Source organism: Homo sapiens, chromosome 19, assembly GCF_000001405.40.
Source record: "Homo sapiens chromosome 19, GRCh38.p14 Primary Assembly".
Lineage (NCBI taxonomy): Eukaryota > Metazoa > Chordata > Mammalia > Primates > Hominidae > Homo > Homo sapiens.
The window spans coordinates 41,211,464-41,230,207 of record NC_000019.10 but is presented as its reverse complement, the minus strand read 5'-3'; the positions used below and the strand labels follow the sequence as shown (position 1 = coordinate 41,230,207).

The 18,744-nt window shown below is 52.6% G+C and overlaps 1 protein-coding gene across 3 annotated transcripts in view, besides 5 other annotated features; it reads right to left on the bottom strand.

Annotated features, from left to right (window-relative positions):
* The window catches only part of AXL (AXL receptor tyrosine kinase), a 42,544-nt gene extending 31,559 nt beyond the window's left edge, over positions 1–10,985 (bottom strand). For 2 of the 3 annotated variants that reach the window (NM_021913.5, NM_001699.6), the window contains exons 1-4: positions 10,731–10,985; positions 9,350–9,572; positions 8,962–9,062; positions 8,152–8,328 (exon numbers count right to left, since the gene is read on the bottom strand). In NM_021913.5, the coding sequence (NP_068713.2) occupies positions 8,152–8,328; positions 8,962–9,062; positions 9,350–9,572; positions 10,731–10,815 (586 nt within the window). In that variant the 5' untranslated portion in view covers positions 10,816–10,985. Of the gene's footprint in view, positions 1–3,295; positions 3,454–8,151; positions 8,329–8,961; positions 9,063–9,349; positions 9,573–10,730 lie in introns of those variants that run through there. The other variant, NM_001278599.2, reaches the window with a different exon arrangement.
* Positions 5,022–5,957: an enhancer, noted in NCBI's record as "H3K27ac hESC enhancer chr19:41730156-41731091 (GRCh37/hg19 assembly coordinates)". NCBI's record gives its function as "activates a minimal SCP1, AML or CMV promoter by ChIP-STARR-seq in primed H9 embryonic stem cells {active_cell/tissue: H9 hESC(primed)}" and the evidence as "EXISTENCE:reporter gene assay evidence [ECO:0000049][PMID:30033119]".
* Positions 7,832–8,769: an enhancer, noted in NCBI's record as "H3K4me1 hESC enhancer chr19:41727344-41728281 (GRCh37/hg19 assembly coordinates)". NCBI's record gives its function as "activates a minimal SCP1, AML or CMV promoter by ChIP-STARR-seq in naive H9 embryonic stem cells {active_cell/tissue: H9 hESC(naive)}" and the evidence as "EXISTENCE:reporter gene assay evidence [ECO:0000049][PMID:30033119]".
* Positions 11,020–11,844: an enhancer, noted in NCBI's record as "H3K27ac-H3K4me1 hESC enhancer chr19:41724269-41725093 (GRCh37/hg19 assembly coordinates)". NCBI's record gives its function as "activates a minimal SCP1, AML or CMV promoter by ChIP-STARR-seq in naive H9 embryonic stem cells {active_cell/tissue: H9 hESC(naive)}" and the evidence as "EXISTENCE:reporter gene assay evidence [ECO:0000049][PMID:30033119]".
* Positions 11,272–11,411: a silencer, noted in NCBI's record as "fragment chr19:41724702-41724841 (GRCh37/hg19 assembly coordinates)". NCBI's record gives its function as "represses an EF-1alpha promoter that drives an FKBP-Casp9 reporter gene in an ReSE screen in K562 erythroleukemia cells {active_cell/tissue: K562}" and the evidence as "EXISTENCE:reporter gene assay evidence [ECO:0000049][PMID:32094911]".
* Positions 17,035–17,195: a silencer, noted in NCBI's record as "fragment chr19:41718918-41719078 (GRCh37/hg19 assembly coordinates)". NCBI's record gives its function as "represses an EF-1alpha promoter that drives an FKBP-Casp9 reporter gene in an ReSE screen in phorbol 12-myristate 13-acetate-treated (for megakaryocytic differentiation) K562 erythroleukemia cells {active_cell/tissue: K562(+PMA)}" and the evidence as "EXISTENCE:reporter gene assay evidence [ECO:0000049][PMID:32094911]".

Here is an 18,744-nt window from a genome sequence, read left to right as displayed (position 1 = left end):
TACACACACATATAAACACATATGCTCACACACAGACACAGACACAGACACAGAAACAGACACAGCCACACACACACACTGTGTCTCACACACACAGATTCGTACACCTAGATACTCACATACTCATATACACATATATAGACACACACAGAAATACACGTGCTCATATATATGGACATAGACACATATATACATACTCACACATAGACACACAAAAGCATACACAGACACACACACACAAGGAGACACACAAACATGCACACACTCACATGCACAAACACAGGCACCCTCACTAACTCACAAGGACACAAGTATGAGCACACACACCTGCTAGACACACTTAGGGAAACTGGCCCATGGCTGTACATCAATGGAGACATGTCTGTTCATCTCTAAGCTCGCCTCCTACCAACCCCTCTCCCACTCTCCCTGTCACACGCTCTTCTCCGGCCACACTGGCCTCCAGTGTCTCTGGAACACATACATGAAGCATGTTTCCACTCCAAGAACTGTGCACTGTTCCCTGTGCTCAAAACAGTCTTCCACAAATGTCTACATGACTCGCACCCTCTTCTTTCATTTTTGTTCCTCAACAACACCTCTCAGTCCGCTAGGCCTGGCCACCCTGTTAATATTGGAGCTTGGCCAGGCATAGTGACTCATGACTGTAATCCCAGCACTTTGGGAGGCTGAGTCAGGAGGATCGCTTGAGGCCAGGAGTTAGAGACCAGCCTGGGCAACGTGGTGAGACCCCATCTCTACAAAAAAGAGAAAAATTAGCTGGGTGTGGTGGTGCACACCTGTAGTCCCAGCTACTTGGGAGGCTGAGGTGGGAGGACTACCTGTGCCCGGGGAGGTGGAGGCTGCAGTGAGCTGTGATCACACCACTGCACTCCAACCTGGGTGACAGAGTGAGACCCTGTCTCAAAAAAACTAAAAATAATAAAATGAAAAATAAAGGCTGGGCACGGTGGTTCATGCCCGTAATCCCAGCCTTAGGAGGCCGAGGTGGGTGGATCACCTGAGGTCCGAAGTTCGAGACCAGCCTGGCCAACATAGTGAAACCTCGTCTCTACTAAAAATACAAAAAATTAGCTGGGCATAGTGGCAGGCCCCTTTAATCCCAGCTACTCAGGAGGCTGAGGCAGGAGAATAGCTTGAACCCGGGAGGCAGAGGCTGCAGTGAGCTGAGATCACGCCATTGCACTCCAGCCTGGGCAACAAGAGTGAAACTCTGTCTCAAAAAAAAAAGAAAGAAAAGAAAAGACAAAGAAAGAAAGAAAAAATACAATAAAATTGGAGCTAATTGGAGCTTCCTCTCCAAATCTATCCCCTTCCCGCTTTACTTTTCCTCTTTGGTTCTTCTCATCACCCAACATACTTTACCTGTTACCCAAGTACCTTGCCCATTGTCAGTTTCTCCCACTAGAATGTCAGCTCTAGGAGGGCAGGGGTTGTGTCTGTTTCGTCCCCTGCTGTGTCAGGATGGCCTGGCACACAATAGGTGTGCCATAAATGCTTGTTGAATGAGTGAGTGAAATTGTGTTCAGCTATGTACTTATGAGCATTCCTGGGCATAGGTGTAGAAATATGAGCATGTGTAATTCCATAGGGGAGTTCACGTATTGTGTCTTGACTGTTTTTTTCTTTTGTTTTTTGAGAGTCTTGCTCTGTTGCCCAGGCTAAAGTGCAGTGGCATGATCTTGGCTCACTGCAACCTCTGCCTCCTGGGTTCAAGCCATTCTCCTGCCTCAGCCTTCTGAGTAGCTGGGATTACAGGAGCGCGCCACCATGCCCGGCTAATTTTTGTAATTTTTAGTAGAGATAGGGTTTCACCATGTTGGCCAGGCTGGTCTCGAACTCCTGACCTCAAGTGATCTGCCCATCTCAGCCTCCCAAAGTGCTGGGATCACAGGTGTGAGCCACCGTGCCCGGCCTTGAGTAACTGTTTTCGAGTGAAGGTGGATTGCCTTCCCTCCCTAACGTGGTGGTGTTGGTGTTGGTATGACCAGCGTGCACACACAGAAGCACGTACAATTACAGAGACAAACACGAGAGACACAGACCTGCAAGCACACAGAGATACCCAACACAAACCGCTATACAACGTACATCAGTCCCCCTTTATCCGAGGTTTCACTTTTTGAGGTTTCAGTTACACTTGGTCTAAAAATATTTCAATGGAAAATTCCAGATATAACTCCTAAGTTTTAAATTGCATGCCGTTCTGAGTACTGTGATGAAACCTCATGCCATCCCACTCTGGTTGGCCTAGAACGTGAATCCCCCCTTTGTCCAGCATCTCAGTGCTGTATCTGATACCTGTCTGTAAGTCACTTAGCTATCAGATCAACTGTCCTGGTACTGCAGTGCTCAAGTGCAGAGTTCAAGAAACTCTTATTTATCTAAATAATCGCCTGGCCGGGTGCTATGGCTCACATCTGTAATCCCAGCACTTTGGGAGGCCGAGGCGGGTGGATCACTTGAGATTAGGAGTTTAAGACAAGCCTGGGCAACACAGTGAAACCCCCGTCTCTACTAAAAATACAAAAAAATCAGCCGGGCATGGTGGCGCGTGCCTGTAATCCCAGCTACTCGGGAGGCTGAGGCACGATAACTGCTAGAACCCGGGCTGCGGAGGTTGCAGTGAGCCAAGGTCGCCACACTGCACTCCAGCCTGGGCGACAGAGAGAGACTCTGTCTAAAAAAAAAAAAAAAAGGCCCCAGGGTGCAAAATAGTGATGGCTGCAATTCGGATAGGCCAAAGAGAAGCCTTAAAGTGCTTCCTTTTAAGTGAAAAGGTGAAAATTCTCCACTTAGAAAAAGATAATCATATATATATGTACTGAGGTTGCTAAGATCTATAGTAAGAAAACAATCTATCTGCGAAATTGTGAAGGAAAAAGAAAGTTATGTGTAGTATATACAGGGTTTAGTATTATTCATTGTTTCAGGCTTTTGTGGGGGCTCTTAGAGAACGTATCCTGGTGAATAAGGGGAATCCCCCAACACAGATACACGTAGAAACATAGACACCCCCCTCCCCCAGCACACACACACAATGTCTGCGCTAGGATGTAAGAAGGACCAAGTTTTTCGTTTTGTTTTTTGAGACAGGTTCTTGCTCTATCTCCCAGGCTGCAGTACAGTGGCACAATCACGGCTCACTGCTGCCTTGACCTCCAGGGCTCAAGCGATCCTCCTGTCTCATCCTCCCAAGCAGCTGGGACTACAGGCGGCCACCACACTTGGCTAACTTTTCAATTTTTTTTTGTAGAGAAGAGGAGAGTCTCACCACGTTGCCCAGGCTGCTCTCAAACTTCTGGCCCCAAGCGATCCTCCCGCCTCGGCCTCCCAAAGTGCTGGATCGCAGGCAGAGCCACTCGGTGCCCGGCCCTGGGACCAAGTCTTGTAAGTGCGACTGCAGTTCTGCGTGTTGTTTACGCGTGTGCTTGTGCATCTGTGTTTGTGTTTCTGAGCTGGTATGTTTGTGACCCTGCGTGTATCTGTGGATGGTGTGTACGTGCATGTGTTGAGTATCTGTGTACGTGTCTCTCGTGTTTGCTCCGTGCGTGTACGCCTCTGTTCCCACCGCGTTGGCAAGGGAGGCTCTCCATCCGCAGACACAAAGTTTCCTTTTCTCCGTCAGCGGAGGGAGTGGAATGGTGCAAAGTCTGCAGAGGCCGGAAAGGGGAGGGTAGGGGAGCTCCTCAGTCGCGGCTTCCTAGGTGGCCGTTCCCAGACAAGGTCAGGTGCCCGCTCCCGCAGCCTCCGCGCCCTGAAGGCCCCGCGCCCGCAGCCCCCGCGCCGCCCGGAGGAGAAACAGTACAGTCCCGGGCGGGCGGCCCGAGTGGGGGCGGGGAGCCTGGGTCGGGTCCAGCCACCTGGCACGTGGGGCCCCGCCAGGGTCAGCGCGCGGGAGCTGGCGCCGCCGGCCGGAGAAGCCCTGGGGCTGGAGGTGGGTTCTGGAGCCGGGTCCCGTTCCGACCGCAGCATTCCTGCCCCCGCGTGAGTCACCGGGGGCACCTCCCCACCCCAGCGCTTCCGGCCGGCTTCGGGGGCGCGGAGCCAGAGCCGGGATCCCCCTTCCCAGGCCCCAACGGCCGCACCTTGAGTGAAGGGGACAGGAGGAACTGGGACCCCTTCCCCTCCAGAAGGTTCTTGCTTTACCGCAAGACGACAGGAGCAGGCCGATTCCAGATGTGCTTTCCAGATGTCCTGACCATCCCCCCACAACCCCTGCTCTCCGCCCCAGCTTTTCCAGAGAATGAGAGGGATGGAAGGAGGAGGGGCACGCCCTGAGTCAGATAGAGGGACAGACGCACACAAACGGACGAAATTCCTTCACACAGCAAACCCCCCCACACACACACTCACAATGAATCACACTTAAACACACAGGGGCTGTTATTAGCACAGAAGACGCAGCGCTTGGTAAGTTAACGGCACACAGATATGCAAGGGCTGATGTCACAAACACAGTGACACAAAAACACCGTGACTCACACATATACACGCGGGCTGACACTGATGTACATTCATAAAGAGACATGTATGCATACAAGCCAACGTGGGACAAACACATAAACACACAGTCACACATGTACACATTGATTACAAACACCTAGCGACGCAATGTACATCTAGGCTGATGCCAACACACACAGAAACTTAAATGTCCCTGTATATTCAGAGACACACACCACGTAACAGCGTACATGGAGTTGAGGTGGACAGATAGATACACACCAGGACACAATGAAGGGTCATTTTGACCTGCTCAGACACAGACACACCGACGCGTACACCTCACAGCCAAGCCTCCATCTACGCCATAAGATGGAGCTGGATGCGCCCAGGTTTCATGTTCACCCAGACACAGACTGATACAAAAACACATTTGCGCTGGGTGCGGTGGCTCACGCCTGTAATCCCAGTACTTTGGGAGGCCGAGGCCGGTGGATCACTTGAGGTCAGGAGTTTGAGACCAGCCTGGCCAACATGACAAACCTGTCATGAAACCCTGTCTTTACTAAAAATACAAAAATAAGCCAGGCGTGCCTGTAATCGCAGCTCCTCAGGAGGCTGAGGCAGGAGAATCCCTTGAACCCCGGAGGCGGAAGTTACAGTAAGCCAAGATCGTGCCACTGCACTCCAGCTTGGGTGACAGAGTGAGACTCCGTCTCAAAACAAAAACCCCAAAAAACAAAAAAACACAGTTTCGTAGATGCGCAGGCCTGATGCAGACACACAAGGATGGAGACACTGCCATGGACACATAGATTGACACAGAGACACATCTATACGCTGACTGGTAAGCATCCTTAGGTCATGTACTCAGAGGCAGCAGGGGCCAGTGCACACACAGGGAGACCAGAGAGAAGCAGAGGGTGCTGTTACACACACACACACACACACAGGTCTGTGACTACAGTCATACACCAACATGCTTACCCTGTGACATATACACACACGCCACAGAGACATCTATGGACACACACAGAAAGCTGGTAAGAGGCTGAGGGTTGAGAGCAGTGGCTCACGCCTGTAAATCCCAACACTTTGGGAGGCCGAGGCGGGAGGATCACTTGAGGCCAGGAGTTCAAGAGCAGCCTGGGCAACATGGCGAGACTCTGTCTCTACCAAAAAATTCAAAAACTATCTGGGTATGGTGGCACATGCCTATAGTCCCAGCTGCTTGAGGGGTGGGAGGGTGCTGAGGTAGGAGGATTGCTTGAGCCCAGGAGGTGGAGGCTACAGTGAGCCATGATCACAGTACTGCACTCCAGCCTGGGTTACACAGCGGGAGCTTATCTTGAAAAAAAATAAGGGGGAAAAAAGGTGGTAAGAAACACAAGTTATCCATGGACACGTTCTGATTCTGCAAGGGAACACAAGCTCTCACTAGGACACTCTCACACCCATAGCTGCACACCTGTGGGCTGACACTACCACCTCCATACAGAGAGGTGTGCACCATAGCCCCAAACCCACTACCCTCCAGGCACACTTTACTTTCATACAGTGAGTCCCAGCTGTGAACACACAAACACAAAAAAGAGGGACAGACACAGGCTGACACTGGTACACTCCATCATGCGCACACACACAGACACCCACACACGGGCAACCCCTAAGAAACGTAGAGAGAGAGACATGCTATAAAGATCCAAACACATATTGGGACAGAATCCAAGCTGAAGGAAATATATTTAGTCACACACACACACACACACACCACACATGGGACATCCACAGAAGTCCACCCTCGCCAAGGCACACCCTCACACAGAGGTTGTGCTGACGGATACACTAACACTCAGATCCAGAACACACAGATATCCAGACACCCCACCACCACCACACAGACATGCACAGATCCTCACACCTGTGCAGCCCCCATTTCTCTCCCTCCCCTCCCCTTCTCATGGGACCTGCCAGGCTGACTCATGCCCGATCCCCAACCCTGGTCCCTACTCAGCCACTCGAGCCATGGGCCTGAGTCACTCCTCTGGGGTCAGCATGCTCACCAGGTCTTCCTTGCAACTCAGGGTCCCAGGAATGCTGAGAATGTGAGCTCCTCCCTCCACCCTGGAGACCCCCAGTCAGAAGGCCCCTCCTCATTCCAGCAGAGAGAGGCAGCAGGTTGGGAGTGCGGGAAGCTGATGCCCTCCAGGCTGCAGCCTCCTTCCTTTACAGAGCCTCTGCCATCTGCTCCTCTGTCTTTCCTCCTTCAGTAGGGAGAACCCCCTGAATCCAGGGTCCCCCAGTGATGCCCCTGACCACTGCATAACCCTGAGCTCGGTCCTTCCTCGTCTGCATGGTGCAGAAGGGAATGGTCCCCAAGAAGGAGAGGGTTTCTGTCACTCCAACTTCCCTGTCCTGTCTTTCATTTTGTTTTGTTTTTCGTTTTGAGACAGAGTCTTGCTCTGTCACCCAGGCTGGAGTGCAGTGGTGTGATCTCGGCTCACTGCAACCTCCATCTCCCGGGTTCAAGCGATTCTCCTGCCTCAGCCTCCCAAGTAGCTGGGACTACAGATGCCCGTCACCACGCCTGGCTAATTTTTGTATTTTTGGTAAAGATGGAGTTTTGTCATGTTGGCCAGGCTGGTCTCGAACTCCCAGCCTCAAGTGATCCACCTGCCTCAGCCTCCCAAAGTGCTGGGATTACAGGCGTGAGCCACCATGCCCGGCCTCTCTGTCCTGTCTATGTTCATCTTGGGTCACTGTGGCCTGTCCCTTCCAGTGTATGTCATTCTATCTCTCTCTGTCTCCCACTTTCTTTTTTTTTTTTTTTCTTTTGAGATGGAGTCTCGCCCTGTCGCCCAGGCTGGAGTGCAGTGGCGCAATCTCGGCTCACTGCAAGCTCCGCCTCTCGGGTTCCTGCCATTCTCCTGCCTCAGCCTCCCGAGTAGCTGGGACTACAGGCGCCCGCCACCACGCCCGGCTAATTTTTTGTATTTTTAGTAGAGATGGGGTTTCACCGTGTTAGCCAGGATGGTCTTGATCTCCTGACCTCGTGATCCGCCCGCCTCAGCCTCCCAAAGTGCTGGGATTACAGGCGTGAGCCACCACGCCCAGCCTCTGTCTCCTACTTTCTTCCTGCTCTCTCTTCTTTGGGTTCCATCTCCCCAGTGGGGACCGGGCTGGACATCCTCCCTTTGACTGAGGCCAGCAGGCTTGTTAGGGCAGGAGGTGGGCCGGTTGTGGAGGGAGGCGGAGGAGAGGAGGGCACGGTTGATTCCGGTGCCCTGCTTGGGTCAAGGGCTGACAAAGGGGCACCAGGCCCACACGCACTCGAGCCATGGAACAGCTCAGAGGAAACCCAGGACAAAGAATTCTATTCAGAGAGAGGCCGGGGTGAATGGAGGGAGAGAGAAGCAGAGAGACAGAGAGAGAGACACATACAAAGAGAGACAGAAAGACACACACACCAAGAGACAGAAAGAGACAGAAAAAGGCATACGGAGAGAAATAAGATAGGTAGAGACAGAGAGGCAGAGACAGACTCAGAGGGAGAAACGAGAGAGACAGACAGTGAGGGACAGAAGGACAGTCAGACACTCACGCAGAGGTAGCAATGTTCCCTTGCTCCTGACTTCAGCCCTGCCCGGCCCCCTATTCGGAGCTGACCCACATCCCCGGACTCACCTGGAACATGCAGGCTGCGCTGGGGGCCGTGACCTGGAGCCGTGGCCAGGGGGACAGCATCCTGGAGCCAGAGTAGGTCCACGGGCTCTGGGGGTCCCTGAGCTTGGCAGCTCAGGTTGAAGGGGGTGTTGGCGGCCACAGTCCTGTCTTCGGGCTCCTCCAGGAAGTAAGGCAAGCCTAGCGGGGTGGGCAGTGGTAGAGGCTGGGGTCCCTCTGAGGCCCCAAGATGCCTGACTCACCACTAGGATGCTGTAGGCTTTGGGCAGCAAACCCACCCTGCAGGGTCATTGACTTGCCTTATCTGATCCCCGAGGGCACCTGAGCCATACCCAACACACACGTGACCCCAATATCTGATTCCTCCCATGTCAGACCCCCCACGATAGCTGAGCTCCTCATGTCTCTCTTCCAGAATGTCTGACAGCTCATCCTCATCTCATTCTATGGATGAGAAAAAAGAGACCGCTGGGGTCGTGGGGACAGGGGTACGTTGCGTGCCTCTGACGCCTTATCTGAAGACCAGAATGGCCTCCTGTGACCTGATGGTGTCTGATGCCTAGGACATCCAACTACCCCCAAGAAGTCTTTTCACCCAGAACATATAATCCCCCAGCCTTGGCACCATAACTTATATGGACTCCCAGCTTCTTGACCACCCAAAACTCTGACATTCTTAGGCTGTATGACGCTAGGTTCATCCTGAATCCTCCAGCACCCTTTGACCTTGACCCCTCAGGATTCCTGACTTCCCACAACCTATGAGCGCCACATGTCCTCTGACCCCTCAGGACCCCTGACCCCAGAGCTCACCCTCCAGCCCAACATAGCCAGGCTGGGACACGAAGGTCTGATGTCCCAGAAACACCAAACACTGGTACTGTCCCGTGTCGGAAAGCTGCAGGGAGGTGATTCTGACAGGGCAAGAGGAGAGACAGAGAGGTTCAGGGTCAGAGCTGGACACTGGGAGGGGGTCTGTCAGAACGGAAAGAGGGTGTCCAGTCTGGAAGCTCATGACAACCACGAAGTATGTCCTATTATTAACTCATTTTGCAGAAGAGGAAAACGAAACCTAGAGGTTCCATCACATGCTCAAAGCCGCACGGCTGACAAGTGGTCAAACTGGGGTTCCCACCCAGGTGGGCTTTCTGCCCTCTGTGTGACGGAGGTGGGAGTGGGATTCGGGGATGTGGCCACACACCTGAGCTGGCTGACCACTATCCAGTCATCCTGTTCATCCTCACCCAGGGGCACCTGGGTCTGGGTGCTGTCCGCGAGCTCCAGGATCTGTCCATCCCGAAGCCAATGTACCTCGGGGGGCTCTCCCTGAACCTGGAGCTGACACCGAAGGGTGCCCGTGAGTCCCCGGGCACCTGTGATATTCCCTGGGTTGCCCACGAAGGGACTTTCTTCAGCCTGCGTGCCTGGAGGGGAGATGGGAAGAGTTAGCTTAGGAACCCCCCAGCTCCTTCCGGCCCTCAGTTCCACCCTGTCCTTGCCTGCCCACCGGCGGCCAGGACCCCGCCAGGCCCTTAGGCCGACATAGTTGCAGAGTGACCTCAGAGTGGGGTGGAGGGCGGAGGCTCTGAGAGGAGGACGGGAGCCCTCCCAAGGGACTGGGATCTAGCGTCCATCCCGTCGGGAAGGAGGCTCGGGATCTGGCAGCCTCCCACGCCCTGCACTGCCTGGCAGGGCCAGCCCCTGCCCCCTCCGTCCTCTCTTAGGTCTCTAGAGACTTAACAGGTCGCGCTGGTGCTGGTGGATGGAGGGGAAGAATCAGGGGTTGGGGGAGAGAGATAAGGGTGGTGGTGGGGGGAGATAAGGGTGGTGGCGGAGGGAGAAGCCAGAGAAAGGCAGGGGAGATGAGACAGAGAGGAGCACAGATACAAGGCAAGACAGAAAAAATGAAGAAACAGCCCTCAAGAGAGAAGAAAAGGTGGGGGCGGAGGGGGGATACAGTCACAGAGGGAGGCTGAGAAGAGAGAGAGAGACTCAGAGAGCAGGGAGAGATAAAGGCAGAGACTGTGAAAGAGAGAGAAACAGAGACCCACAGAGATAGCAGAGCTGGAGGCAGAGACAGAGAGACAAAGTGAGAGCCTCCTCCCCAGAGATGGAGTGGACTGGTGGGGTAGGGACAAGTGGCGGGTCAGGGGGGTGGTGTTGGCAGGGAGAAGCGTTTTCCCCCAGGGCTCCAGAGCCCTCCTCATCCCACTGCCTGACTCGGTGCCCCTTCGGAAAGATTTCTTCCTTCCTGGCGACCCTCAGCTCAGCCCCTCTCCCCATGGCCCCCTTCTCAGGTCCAGCCCCCACCCCTGCCCTCAGCTTCTCCTTGTCTGTCTGTCTCTCCGGGTCCTCTCTTCTGTCCCCCCTGCCCTTCAGTTCCTCTCTCAGTCTTTCTCTCCCTCTGCCGCACTTGGTGTCTCTGAGTCTGTGTCTCCCTCCCTTGAAGTCCCTTTTCTGTGGTCCCAAGGAAACTCCCTAAGCCAGCCCAGGCCCCCCACACCTGCCATCATCCCCCACCTCCTACCCCTGCCCCAGCCCCTCCGAGGGGATCCCTGCCCCAAGGAGCCCCCATCACTCACCCCTGGGGGCCATGCACGCCCAGCCGCACAGCGCCAAGCACCAGGCCAGCGGGACCCTGCCCATCCTGGGGCACCGCCACGCCATGGGTGCCAAACTTTCCTCAGAAGTTGTTGGGCTCCCAGCGGGGGAGGGGGCAGGGCCGGGCTGTCCCCGGCCCTCCCCCCAGCTCCAGGCTCCCCGGATTTGGCACTGCCTGCCTGGCACAGCGGCAGGGGAGGCCCTTGCCACCGGCTCTGCCCAGCAGCCGCCTTCTCAGCACCCCTGCCTCCTTCCCTCACTCCCAGACTTGGGCAACCCTTTCTCCGCCCCTGGCTCCCCCTTTGCCTCCGCCCACCAGGGCCAGAGCCCAGGGGCCACCTGGACAATCAGGGGTTAACTCAAGAGAGGAGAGGATCAGCTCTTTCTTAAAGGGGCCAGGGAGGGAGCTGAGGAGGGGGAAGGGGACCCTGGTGGCTGTGCCCCCTGTCCTGAGCCAGTGAGGCCGTGTCTCTCTATCCGGGCTCTGGGCGCTGTCCCTCTGGGCTCTGTGTCTGGTAAACATTCCTCCAGAACTCCACTCCCCTCTCAGCTCAGGCCGTGACGCCCCTCTCCCCGCCTCCACCCCCAGCCCAGCCCCAGCCAGGCCTCCTTGGCCCTTCATTCCCCCTCACTCTCTCGGCTCCTCGGACAAGGACACACACACACACACACACACGCACGCACGCACGCACGCACACACACTCTTAGACGTCACTGACACACACAGGCTAGGACAAGCAGAGACACGCAGAGGGACCCAGACGGGCAGGGGCATGCTACTGGCCCACAGACACACTCAGACAAGCCAGGCCAGGAGCTCGATTCCTGGAGAAACCTCAGAGACAGGAGGACACGGCTGGGTGGGCATCCATGGGGGACACTTACTTGGGGAGACACAGATCTTCAGACACGCCAAAACCTGCATGGACGCCTAAATGGGACACCAAATACAGGCGACATGAAGGGGACCCAAGTTGGAATCCCAGTGCTACCACTAACTGTGGGCTACAGGCAAGTGACTGGCCTCCTGAGCCTCAGTTTGTCCATCTGTAAAATGGGAATAAGAATAGTTGTTGGCCGGGCACAGTAACTCACTCCTGTAATCCCAGCACTTTGGGAGGCCAAGGTGGGAGGATCGCTTGAGCCCAGGAGTTCGAGACCAGACTGGTCAATGCACTGAGACCCCCATCTCTACAAGAAGTTTAAAAATTAAAACTTAACCAGGTATCATGGCGTGTGCCTGTGGTCCCAGCTACTAGGGAGGCTGGAGTGAGAGGAACGCTTGAGTCCAAGAGATCGAGGCTGCAGTGAGCCCTGATCATTCCACTGCTCTCTCCTTCTGGTGGGACTGTGTGTCCTGGTTATTGCAGATCTGCTGCCTGCGTATCGGCTCTGCTGCACTTCCATTCCTCGGCCCTGTGTGTTTGGCACGTGGAGGGCTCTGCATGCCTGGATGTCTGTGAGGAGGAGGCTGGGCGTCTATCCCTCTGCTCTTGGCCACCTGTGTTTGGGTACTGGTATACCTACGGTGCATCATAAAGTCCTATCTGTTTGGCCTCCTGATGTCTCTTCTACCTGCCCCTTCCCAGCACCCCCGTCTGATCCTGCCTTCTCCTGCCTCTACTGTCACTCCTTTCTCCCATTTAGCAACCAGAGGACTGTTTCTGAAAGTCAAATCCTACCCTGTCCCTTCTCTGCTTGCCCATGGCCTCCTGCTGCCCTCAGGGCAAGCTCCCAGCTCCTTGTCACTGGCCACTTAGGGCCCTTCACCGTTGTCTCCCTGGGCTGTGTCTTTTTTTTTTTTTTTTTTTTTGAGACCCAGTCTTGCTTTGTTGCCCAGGCTGGAGTGCAATGGCTCGATCTCGGCTCACTGCAACCTCCATCTCCTGGGTTCAAGTGATCCTCCCACCTCAGCTTCCTGAGTTGCTGGGATTACAGGTGTGCACCACCATGCCAGGTTAATTTTTGTATTTTTGGTAGAGACGGGGTTTCACCATGTTGGCCAGGCTGGTCTGGAACTCCTGAACTCGTGATCTGCCCGCCTCGGCCTCCCAAAGGGCTGGGATTACAGGCGTGGGTCACTGTGCCCGGCCATGGGCTGCTGGCTTCTGTTGCTCCTTCCAACCTGTCTCCCACTCAACAGTCAGAAGGCTTCTTCCCAATCTCAAACCAAACCCTTTCCCACCTCTGCCCCAAACCTTTCAGCAGAACCCTAAACTCCTTATGTTTCTGTGACCCTCCCCTCGCCTCCCCAGGCTTCTCTCGCTTTCTCACCCAAAGAGCCCCCTCAGAGGACTTGGAGCAACCTCCTGCAGCACTTTGTCCCCAACTCTATCATCCCTTCTCCATCGCATCACTGCCTGGCCCCCCCAGCCCAATCTAGGTCCTCATATTGTTCACTCCCAACATGCTGTCCCTTTCCTTGGCAACACTTTGCCTGGGTTGTCATTATATATTTATTGGCATGATTATGTGTCTCACATCTGTCTCCTCCCACTGGCCTGTGGGCTCTGCGGGGGAAGGGACTGGGTATATTTTGGGAACTGCTGCATCTTCACCGCCCTGTAAAAGGCCTGCCATAAAGGGGACAATTCCTTATTGTGGCATTTTTTTTTTCTTGAGACAGAGTCTCACTCTGTCGCCCAGGCTGGAGTGCGGTGGCTGTATCTTAGCAGACTGCAAACTCCACTTCCCAGTTCAAGCATTCTGTCTTCTTGCTCTGTCATCCAGACTGGAATGCAGTGGCGCCATCATAGCTTGCTGAAGCCTCAAACTCCTGGGCTTATGTGACCCTCCTGCCTCAGCCTCCCCGAGTAGCCAAGACTATGTGTGCAAGCACACCTGGCTAATTTTAAAAAACTGTTTTAGGGGCCAGACGTGGCTGCTCAAGCCTGTAATCCCAGCACTTTGGGAGGCCGAGGCGAGTGGATCACGAGGTAAGCCTGGCCAATCATTCCACCTGGGCCTCCTAAAGTATGGGATTATAGGCGTGACCCACTGCGTGACCCACTGTGTGATCCACTGCACCCAGCCCGATCTCTTTTTTTCTTTTTGGTTGGGGAGATGGTCTCTCGCTGTCACCCAGGCTGGAGTGCAGTGGCGCAATCCGGGCTCACTGCAAACTCCAACTCCCAGGTACAAGAGATTCTCCTGCCTCAGCCTCCTGAGTAGCTGGGACTGCAGGAACTACCGTAATGCCTGGCTAATTTTTGTATTCATAGTAGAAATGGGGTTTCACCATGTTGGCCAGGCTGGTCTCAAACTCCTGACCTCAGGTGATGTGCCTGCCTCGGCCTCCCAAAGTTCTGGGATTACAGGTGTGAGCCACCACGCTCGGCCTATTGTGGCATTTTTGAGGGGTGCAAATATGTGCAAAGATCTGTTCACTTGTTTAGATATGTTGGGGGGCCCCTGCCCACCCTAGGGCTCAGTGGACCCAGCTGGTTGATGGCCTACTTGAACCTGTGAATTCATTCACTCATGAACTATATGAACTATTTGCTGAGCACCTGCTATGTGCCTGCAATTTACTTTGAAATGCATTTTAAAAAATGAGACGGGGGCCGGGCTTGGTGGCTCACATCTGTAATCCCAGCACTTTGGGAGGCCCGGGTGGGTGGATCATTTGAGGTCAGGAGCGCGAGACTAGCCTTGCCAACATTTTAAAACCCCATCTCTACTAAAAATACAAAAAAAATTAGCCAGGCATGGTGGTGTGCACCTGTAGTCCCAGTTACTTGGGAGGCTGAGGCAGGATAATCTCTTGAACCTGGGAGGTGGAGGTTGCAGTGAGCCAGGATTATGCCACTGCACTCCAGCCTGGGTGACAGCAGAGACCATCCCCCCTCCCCCCCCAAAAAAGAGAAAAAGATTCGGGGCTGGGTGCAGTGGGTCGCACCTATAATCCCACACTTTAGGAGGCCCAGGTTGGAGGGTTGCTTGAGGCTAGGGGTTTAAGACCAGCCTGGCAACATAGCCAGACCCTGTGTCTTCCAAAAAATTTTTTTAATTAGCCAGGTGTTCTTGCACACATAGTCTTGGCTACTTGGGGAGACTGAGGCAGGAGGATCGCTTGAGCCCAGGAGTTTGAGGCTGCAACAAGCTATGATGGTGCCAATGCATTCCAGTCTGGATGACAGAGTGAGACCCTATCTCTAAAAAAAAAAGAAAAGAAAAGATGGACAGGTGGTGCTGGGGTGGGGTTTCTACAATGAGCAAGACAAGTCCACATCCTACTGGAGTTTCCATTCAAAGGGGAAGAGAAATAACACTCACATAAATACTTATCATGTTGCAAGATGTGCAGTGAAGAAAAATAAAGCAAGGGCCAGGCACAGTGGCTCATGCCTATAATCCCAGCACTTTGGGAGGCCGAGGTGGGCGGATCACCTGAGGTCAGGAGCTTGAGACCAGCCTGGCCAACATGGTGAAACCCATCTCTACTAAAAATACAAAAATTAGTCAGGCACTGTGGTTCACGCCTGTAATCCCAGCACTTTGGGAGGCTGAGACAGGCGGATCACAAGGTCACGAGTTTGAGACCAGCCTGGCCAACATGGTGAAACCCTGTCTCTACTAAAAATACAAAAATTATCTTGGTGTGGTGGTGCGCACCTGTAGTCCCAGCTACTCGGGAGGCTGAGGCAGGAGAATTGCTTGAATGCAGTAGGCAGAGGTTGCAGGAAGTGAGCCGAGATCACGCCACTGCACTACAGCCTGGGTGACAGAGCAGGATTCCGTCTTAAAAAAAAAATTTTAAAAACCCAAAATTATCTGGGTGTGGTGGTACACACCTGTAATCCCAGCTACTTGGGAGGCTGAGGCAGGAGAATCACTTGAACCCCAATGGAGGAGGTTGCTTTGAGCCAAGATCGCTTCATTGCACTCCAACCTGGGCGACAGAGCAAAACTCCATCTCAAAAAACAAACAAACAAACAAACAAACAAAAACAAAAAAAGAAAAAGGAAAAGAAAGCAGGGGATAGTGAGAGGTGTGGGTGCTGTTTTAGAGAGGATGATGGGGGAAGGCTTCTCTCAGGCTATGATTGAGATCTGAAGTAAATTAGCAAGTGAGCCCTGTGGGGAACAGCATTCCAGGTGGAGGGAATAGCCAGTGCAAAGGCCCAGAGGCAGGCGTGTGGCAGGCATGTGAAGAACTGTGAGGAGGCCTGTTTGTGGCTGGAACAGTTGGGGGCAGGAGTAGAGGGAAGGTGGGCTTGGGGTGAGGGCAAGCCTTGGCCTGGCAAAAACTTTGGTCTTTGTTTTAACTATGATATGAACAGGAGTGATACCATCTGATCTAGTTTTAAAGGATCCCTCTGCTAAGGCAAGTGAAAGGTTGATACGTTCTTCCTCTGTTGCCCAGGCTGGAGTGCAGTGGCATGAACACAGCTCACTGCAGCCTCGACCTCCTAGGCTCAAGTGATCCTCCCACTTCAGCCTCCCAAGTAGCTGGGACCACAGGTGTGTGCCACAATAACTGGCTAATTTTTTAAGTTTTTCGTAGAGACAGTGTCTCACTTTGTTATCTGGGCTGGTTTTGCACTCCTAGGCTCAAGAGATCCTCCCGTCTCGGCCTTCCAAAGTGCTGGGATTACAGGCGTGAGTCACTGTGCACCTGGCTGGTTGGCAGAGTTTCTAACAGAGGGATCAGGACCTGGACACGTTAATTTTAAGCGTCACTACACATGGGACCATCAATTTTGCAATGTGATGCAACAAGATGTGGCCCAGCACCTCCAGGGAGGATCTCTTGCCAGAATGAGCCTGAATCTGATCTAATTCCCAGTTTACAGGAGATCCTGGGAACAGAAGGACATCTTGAACAGCACCACAAAGATGCTGCCAGCCTAATCCAGAATGTGAAAAATTGCACAGGGCCAAAGACCCAGTTGATTCAAGAAATTAATGGCATGTAAAAGGATGGGTAACAGTTACAGATTTTAAAAACTTAATAGACATTTCAAACAAAATTCAGATTCTGATTTGAACAAACCAATTTTAAAAGACATTAATATTCCAGCACTTTGGGAGGCCAAGGAGAGAGGATTGCTTGAGCCCAAGAGTTTGAGGCCAGCCTGTGAAACATAATGAAATCCCATCTCTACAAAAAAAAAAAAATTTTTTTTTAAATTAGCCAGGTGTGGTGGTGTGTGCCTATAATCGCAGCTACTCAGGAGGCTGAGACGAGAGGATCACTTGAGCCTGGGAAGCAGAGGTTGCAGTGAGCAGAGATTGTGCCACTGCACTCCAGCCTATCTTTTTTTTTTTTTTTTTTTAAAGGACAGGCCAGGTGCAGTGGCTCACACCTGTAATCCCAGCATGTTGGGAGGCCAAGGCAGGCAAATTAGCAGATCAGGAGTTCCAGGCCAGCCTGACCAACGTGGTGAAACTCCATCTCTACTAAAAATACAAAAATTAGCCAGGTGTGGTGGCGCACACTGGTAGTCTCAGCTACTTGGGAGCTCGGGAGGCTAAGGCAGGAGAATCACTTGAACCCCGGAGGCGGAGGTTGCAGTGAGCCGAGATCATGCCACTACACTCCAGCCTGGGCAACAGAGCGAGACTCCATCTCAAAAAAAAAAAAAAAGGACATTTATGAGACTATCAGAGAAATGTGAAAATGTGAACACTATGAATCACTATGAATACAATGAATGAATAACAGAATTGTTCGTTGTGATAGGTGTGAAAATGAGTATTGTAGTTTTGACTTTTAAAAAATAAACTTTAATGGGGAGTTATTGTGTTTTTTGTTGTTGTTGTTTGAGATGGGCTCACTCTGTCACCCAGGCTGGGGTGCAGTGGTGTGATCAAAGCCCACTGCAGCCTTGTCCTCCCAGGCTCAGGTGATCCTCCCACCTCAGCCTCCTGAGTAACTGGGACTACAAGTGTGCACCACCACACCAGTCTCACTTTTTGTAGAGATAGCGTTTCCCTATGTTGCCCAGGCTGGTCTTGAACTCTTGGGCTTAAGAGATCCGCCTGCCTTGGACTCACAAAGTGCTGAGATTACAGGTGTGAGCCACCACGCCCAGCCAGAGTTATTATTTAATGGGTAGTTTTTGTTGGAAACAATGGAAACATTTTGGGCACAAATAGTTGTGATGGTTATACAACATTGTGAATATTTTTTTTGTTTTTTTTTTGAGACAGAGTTTCACTCTTGTTGCCCAGGCTGGAGTGCAGGTTGCTCACTGCAACCTCCACCTGCCGGGTTCAAGCAATTCTCCTGCCTGAGCCTCCTGAGTAGCTGGGATTACAGGCATGTACCCCCACGCTCGACTAATTTTGTATTTTTAGTAGAGAGGGGGTTTCTCTATGTTGGTCAGGCTGGTCTCGAACTCCCTACCTCAGGTGATCCGCCTGTCTCGGCCTCCCAAAGTGATGGGATTACAGGCGTGAGCCACCACGCCTGGCCCATTGCGAATATATTTAATGCTACTAAATTGTATACTTCTAAATGGTTAAAATAATATTATTATGTGTATATTTTAACACACGCAGAAAACTATTTGAAGACCACACCGATTCCATTTTTACTTTGGGGACCAATAATTCTTCTTTATTGTTTAAGCCATTTTGAGTTTCTGTATTTTTTTACTTGCTACTGAAATCATCCTGATGTCAACTTTTATATTGATACAGTGCAAAGTCTGTGCCTTTGTTTGTTTGTTTGTTTTCTTTTTTGTACAGATGGGGTCTCACTATATTGTCCAGGCTGGTCTCAAGCTCCTAGGCTCAAGCGATTCTCCTACCTCAGCCTACCAAAGTGCTAAGATTATAGGTATAAGCCACCATGCCCAGGCCGACATGCCTCTTTATTTATTTATTTATGTATTTATGTATTTATTTATTTATTTATTTTTGAGACAGAGTCTTGCCTTGTCGCCCAGGCTGGAGTGCAGTGGCACTATCTCAGCTCACTGCAAGCTCTGCCTCCCGGGTTCACACCACTCTCCTGCCTCAGTAGCTGGGACTACAGGCGCCCACCAC